The sequence below is a fragment of the Homo sapiens genome, chromosome 13 (genome assembly GCF_000001405.40).
Source record: "Homo sapiens chromosome 13, GRCh38.p14 Primary Assembly".
NCBI classification, from domain to species: Eukaryota; Metazoa; Chordata; class Mammalia; order Primates; family Hominidae; genus Homo; species Homo sapiens.
This window is the reverse complement of record NC_000013.11, coordinates 41,054,789-41,061,505: the sequence shown is the minus strand read 5'-3', so window position 1 is coordinate 41,061,505 and position 6,717 is coordinate 41,054,789. Positions and strand designations below refer to the sequence as shown.

Here is a 6,717-nt window from a genome sequence, read left to right as displayed (position 1 = left end):
TGCCCAGACGATCCAATCCGCGTTCGAAATCGCCTCCTCTCCCCTCCCCCTACAGGGGCGGTACTCCCGGCTCCAAAGAGGTGGGGTCGGTATAAAGGGGTTGAGGTCACCGGGAAGGGGTAAAAGCGCGACGGGACCTGAGCTGAAGGACGGGATCTCAAGCCTCAAGTCCCTGCGCCATCCCGCCGTCTCTGTGTCCTCCCCTGGGGCCCAAAACCTCCATCCTCCTTCTAGGCTCGCTGGCTCAAGGCCAAGGAGCTCAGCGCGCCGCCTCCGCCCGGAACGCAAACAGCTGTTCCCAGAGACGTCTCCGCTCTCAACTTTGCCAACTACTCCGCACGCACTTTGACCAGCGGAGCAACCGGGACCTGTGGGTCGGGGTCCTCTGGCGGAGTTAAAAAAAAAAGAGGTGAAACTGCGGGACCGGCGCTGCGAGTCGCTAGGCTTCGCCTCAAACTTTGCTGTTGCAGCGGAGCGGCCCCGCCCCTCCTCTCCCCTACGACGCCCACGCGCTCGGATGGGGCTTGTTCCCTAGCTCGGGAGCGTGTGGGCAGCAGCAGCGGCGGCGGCGGCGGCGGCGGCGGCGGCGGCAGCAGCAGCTTCAGTAGCGCAGAGGCGGCGGTGGCGAGAGGTGCGGCGAAGGAGGCAGAGGCACTTATGCTTGTCAGGTGGGTCACGGCAGTTTCTCATAGCACTTCCCATATGGTCTAGCGGTTAGGATTCCTGGTTTTCACCCAGGTGGCCCGGGTTCGACTCCCGGTATGGGAACGCTTCCTTATTTTTCTTTTTTTTTGCAACTATCGGTTTGGAGGGCTGACTTTTTAAATCTTGTGTTCTGGCTCCTTTCTTGTCCCCGTCTGGGTGAGTTTGTAGAAAATAAGCATTACTGTAGTTAGTGGCGCCAGGAGCTGGGCTGCGGCTTTTGGAGCCTCGAGTGCCACGCCGTGCCTGCTGGAGAAGCGAATGCGCTTCCGATCCTTCTCCCTCCCGCCTCCGGCTCACGGGGCTGGTGGGCCCTGAGGGAGTTTCACTTTCCCCTGGGCTGCTCCCCCGCCCCTCCGGCCCGTAGTTTTCCAGACGCCCGGGAGGTGATGATTAACTCCGGCCTTGCGTTATCTCCTCCCAGCGCCCCCGTCCGGCCCACACCCTCTTCAGCCGCTCTTGCGACTCTTCCTATGCAGGACGGGCTGACCCCCCTGCCCTGGGCGCCCCAGAGCCCGCGCCCGGACCAGTAGCTCTAGTGGTTCTCTGGCCGCAGGGTATTTACGAGGCCCCACGGAACACAGTGTGCCTTCCGCGCCCTCCCGGGGGGACGCGCTTTCCCGGCCGCGCAGCCGCCCGGCGCCCCTTTCCGCCGCGTGTGCGCTCGCGTCTCCACCCGCGGCGCCTGAGCAAGCGCGAGGCCGGCCTGCGAGGTCTTCCCAACTTGACTTAAGGGGCGCTGGTCGCAGTCACGGAAAGTACCCTCGAAAAAAGGCCTTTGGGAACGAGAATCTTTTTTCTTTCCCTTTAAAAATACACACCACGAGCTATGGAGGAGAAAAATACCACTCTGATGAGATGGCTTTAAATAAGTATATCGACTTTCCAAAGGGTCTAACATTTTGAGCGCGGTTGATTTAAAGAAAAAAATTGATTAAAACAACGGCAAAACATCCTGGGGTGGAGGTGGGGCTTGGGAAAGAGAAAATTGGCTGGAGACTGGGGAGGGGACGTTAAAACAAAGTTTCACTGTATTTTTAAATATAGAAGCCCTGTGTTTATTACAAAGAAGGGACAGCTGTGTCAGCAGCATGTGAGCTGTAAATGAAACAAAAGCGTTATCTTAAATGCAAGCTGAAATTAGAAAATAGGGTCGGCTATAATGTTTATTGGGCCTCTGGGAACAAACGAAGAAGGAAAAAGTGACTCTTGTAGATGGGTTTCTGGTCAGTGCCATTACTGAAAGCAGATGTTTTGGTTGTTAGTATGTGTGTTCCCAGACTATTTTGTAGCTTTAACTGCACAGTAAATTTGTTAATGTGATCTGCGTGATTAAGGATTAATTAGGCTTACCTTGTTAAAAAGAAAGAAAAAGCCTAAGTATTTTAAATCGTCTTCATTAATTCAAATATTTGTGTGTTTGCTACACACCAAGCACCACCACATGCTTTTGAAGTTACTGATGTTTGTATTCTTTATGTTAGCTAGTGGATAGAATACTGAATGGAATAATATTTTGGTCTTTGTGATTAGCTGTGTGATGAGACTTTTCACCTTCTCTGTTCTCTGGCTTTAGAGCCATACATTTTTGATAACACGTATCACTCACAAATTTTAAATAGAGTTACAAGAATTGTTGAGCGATTCCTGAATAGATAATGAAAGTGGAATTTTCATTTAAATAAGTAATAGTGTGTCATTATTAAGAAGCAGTTACTAAAGAATTACAGTAGTTGAAAATTTGGAAAGAAGGAAAGATAACTCGGATAACTCTGCCTTAATTGTCCCCAGAGAGGGCTTAACTTTTGACTTTTTCTTCTTTTTTTTGTTGAGACGGAGTCTCGCTCTGTTAACCCAGGCTGGAGGGCATTGGCGCGATCTCAGCTCACTGCAACCTCCGCCTCCCGGATTCAAGCTATTCTCGTGCCTCAGCCTCCCAAGTAGCTGGGACTACAGACACCCGCCACCACGCGTGGCCAATTTTTGTATTTTGAGTAAAGACAATGTTTCACCATGTTGGCCAGGCTGGTCTCGAACCCCTGACCTCAGGTGATCCACCCACCTCGGCCTCCCAAAGTGCTAGGATTACAGGCATGAGCCACCACGCCAGGCCTTGACCTTGTATTTTGTAATGAGTTTACAACATTGTACCAAATGGTGCTAAAATGGATGTTATTTTCAACTGTGCACTCAGTAATTGCAAATAGTTGTACTATATACCTGGGGGTGAACACAAAGGAAGTAGTTGCATCATCTCTGTATAAAACACAGATTTATCTTTCGTGTAGTTGTGCATTACGTAGAATATGGTAAGGCAACATCTGAGTTGTAGAAGTGCTACTGGAGTAACAGAGGTGAGGAATCGGTTCTGCTCAAGGGAGAGGACTGGAGAAGAGACCTAGAGGGGAGAGTGGACCTTGAAGAACTGATTGGATTTCTCCTGTTGGGGAATGTGAATCATAAAGCTGAGGTAGGGGGAACAAGTATGAGGCTGGCAAGTAGTCGGTTTGGCAGGAGCACAGAGTGCCTGCAGGGAGGGCCATGGGAGATCAAGCTGGGAATGTAGAAAGGAATTTTAACTTGATAAATTTTGACTAGGTAACAGGTTCTTTTATCAAGGAGTGACATTTTATGTCACAAAAATTTTTAAACCATTTCTGTCTCTTGGAAAACCCAAAGGTAGCAGTGGCATGTGAAAAATTCTTGTTTTAAAAGATTCAAACAATAAAGAAACATGTAGAATATTTTGTGTCCGTACATTTTATGTTTAGGAGTTGAATATTAATTTGTAATTAATAGAATGGAGAAAAGCAATCAGTTAATTAGAATTCACTTTATAGGAATGAAATCTAGGCTTAAAGTGTGAGAATAATCTGTCTTGCTTTGTTGAAAGTGACCTTGGTATTCGAAGACAGAGCTGCTCACTACTGTCAGTAAGACGTATATCTTAAATTGATTAAGGCTAGGTAATCAGTTTGTGAGGATTCATTCTTAACGCTTGTGCCATTGGCAGGCATATTTTAGGTGCTGTCTCTTGGGCCATAAATTAGTGACACTGAGTGCTGTGGATTTACCCAAATAACCTCTTTAATATTTGCTACTGTTAGGTGTAATTAGAAGATACATGAAAGAGGCAGGGTGTGGTGGCTTATGCTTGTAATCCTAGCACTTTGGGAGGCTGAGGCAGGTGGATCAACATGGCGAAATCCCATCTCTACCAAAAATACAAAAAATTAGCCAGGCGTGGTGGCACCCGCTGCACCTGTATCAGCTATTCAGGAGGCCAAGGTGGGAGGATCACTTGAGCCCTGGAGGCAGAGATTGCAGTAAGCCAGGATCTCAGGATCGTGCCACTGCACTCCAGCCTTGGAGACAGAGAGAGACTCCATCTCGGGGTGGGGGGAAAAAAAAGAGAAAAAGTGAGAGAGCCTGGACAACATAACAAGAGCCTGTCTCTACAAAAATAAAATTAAAAAAAAATTAGCCAGGTGTGATGCCACATGCCTGTAGTCCTAGCTACTTGCAAGCCTAAGGTGGGAGGATCCATTGAGCCCAGGAGTTCAAGGCTGCAGTGAGCTGTGATGTTGCCGCTACACTCCAGGTGACAGAGCAAGACCCTAAGACCTTATCTCTTAAAAAAAAAAAAAAAAAAGACGTGAAAGTTCAGTAAATGTTTGCAGAGATGAACGCTGGTATTTAAAGAAGTAGAAGGGATTTTAAAGCAATTACTGCATTTCAGCTAAAATCCGAAGACCTTATCATGGTCTCATAGGTCCAACATTATCTGGACTTTACCCATCTAACCTCAGGTCCTACCTTATCTACCACTTCACTGTATCTTGGCTACGTAGGCTTCCTTTTTGCCATGCCAAACTTATCCTTGTCTCGGAGTTTTGTTTCTTGCCTTTTTCCTTTGCCTGGAATATTCCCCCTGTAGCTCTGCACATCTCAGGTCAACATTACCTTCTCAGATCTTTTCTGACCACTTTAGCTTGAGACTTCCTCTTCCTTGGTTACTTTCTGGTTACTTTATGACATTTTTTTCATTTTCTTAGTATCTGAAATTAACCTGTTTATTTGTTTCTGTTTATTTCTTGTCTTAGTCTGTCAATATAAGTTCCCTGAAGGCAAGGATATCATATGAGATCGTTCTTGTTCTGTATGTAGTAAAGATTCAAACAATAGTAAAGAAGTTGGAACCCTTATACAGTGCTGCTGGAAATGTATAATGGTGCAGTTGCTTTGGAAAACAGTTTGGCAGTTCCTCAAAATGTTAAACAGTTACCATATGATCCAGTATTTCCACTCCTAGGTGTGTACCCAGTAGAAATGAAAACATGCCCACACCAAACCTTGTATACAAATGTTTATAGCAGCATTATTCATAAGCAAAAAGTAGAAACAACCTGAATGTCCCTCAACTGATGAGTGAATAGGTAAAATGTAGTGTATCCACACAGTGGAATATTTGGGAATAAAAAGGGATGAGGTACTCAATCACAAGAACATTACACTAAGGAGTCAGGCATGAAAGACCACATTTTTATTCCATTTATATGAAATATCCAAAATAGGCAAATCTATAGAGAAAGAGGGAAAATTAGTGGTTGCCTTGGATTAGAGGGGATAGGGAGGTTTGGGGTGAGGTGACTGCCAATGTGGATAGTAAATTTAGGGTGATTGAAAGTCCTGAAATAGATTACAGTGATAGTTCTATAACTCTATAAATGCACTAAATAATGTTGAAGTGTACACTTTAAATAGATAAACTTCATGATATGTAAGTTTTATCTCGACTAAACTCTTAAAAGGGATTGAAGCAATAAAAAGCATATAGAATATTTTCTCTCTTGATTTTACATTTATCATTTGGATATTACCTGTTTTAAAATAATAGCAGCCTGGGCAACATGGTGAAACTTCATCTCTACCAAAGAAAAAAAAAAACAAAAATTAGCTGGTGTGGTGGTGCGTTCCTGTAGTCCCAGCTCCTCAGGAGGCTGAGGTGGTAGGATTGCTTGAACCTGGGGGGTTGAGGCTGCAGTGAGCTATGATCGCACCACTGAACTCCAGCCTGGGCAACAGGGTGAGACCCTCTCTCTAGAAAATAAAAATTAAAATAATAATGGAATAATTTAATGGGGAAACTTCAGCTCCTAGTTAGTTCCACAAATGTGGTAAGTGCTTATTAAATAACTGATGGAGGAGGTTAGGTAAGTATACAGATAATTATGATACAATACATAGTTTGATAAATGCTCAGAGGGGACTAAGCCAGGGGTCATAAGTGTTTGATAGTGTTCAAAATCCATATCTGAGTTTGTGTGAGGGGAATGAGGAAAGGCCTCCTGTAGGAGGCAGCATTCGAGATAAGCTTTGAAGGCTGGTTAGGCTTTTGCTGGTAGAGACAGGGATGGGGACAAGGCATTGAGAGGAAGCAAGCAGGAGCAGAGGCATGTCAACAGTTACTAGCACATTTTAATGGAGCTGAGGGTGCAGGTAGGATAGGAATGGGAAATAAGGCTGCGAAAATAGATTAGGGTCTGTAGTGGACAATGTGTTTTTACTATCCTCCTGATGCCTAGTGTGCCTCCAATGGCTCATACTTAGGAAGAACGATACCTCTTACCTGCAGAGAGCTGGAAGTGTCTGGGGACATATCCTCCTCCCGCTCACAGACCACTGTCAGGAGTGTAACTTTGGAGCAGGGGCTTTGACTTGTTTCCCTCTGTATCATCAGACTTGAAGCAGGGCTTGGCACCTGGTAAACATTCAGAAAACATTTGAATGAATGAATGAAAATCAAGAAGTGGCAAGCAAGGTCTATTTAAAGCAAAGCAAAGTTTATTTTACGAAGCCCCTTGACAAGGAGATTTTGGAAGCCTCTTGGATTTGGAGCTAAGGAGTTTAGTTAGGAAAAGAGATTTCTGGTAATACGAGGAATGTTTTAATGAAATGAATTTGGTAGTAACGTGCAGGTTGAACTGGTGGATGGAAGGATTATGTCTGTGCTCC

General features: G+C 45.4%; 1 protein-coding gene and 1 non-coding gene across 4 annotated transcripts in view, besides 1 other annotated feature; both read left to right on the top strand.

Moving 5' to 3' along the window:
• Positions 1-119: 119 nt before the first annotated feature.
• ELF1 (E74 like ETS transcription factor 1) overlaps positions 120-6,717 on the top strand; it is a 129,468-nt gene continuing 122,870 nt past the window's right edge. For all 3 annotated transcript variants that reach the window (NM_001370330.1, NM_001370329.1, XM_047430118.1), the window contains exon 1: positions 120-668. The gene's annotated coding sequence lies outside the window, so the exon portion shown is untranslated. The remainder of the gene's footprint in view (positions 669-6,717) is intronic.
• On the top strand, positions 697-768 carry TRE-TTC1-2 (tRNA-Glu (anticodon TTC) 1-2). The gene has a single exon. It is a non-coding gene; the product is annotated as a tRNA-Glu (tRNA).
• Positions 1,203-1,382: a silencer, noted in NCBI's record as "silent region_5288". NCBI's record gives its function as "represses an Ori minimal core promoter by ATAC-STARR-seq in GM12878 lymphoblastoid cells {active_cell/tissue: GM12878}" and the evidence as "EXISTENCE:reporter gene assay evidence [ECO:0000049][PMID:35858748]".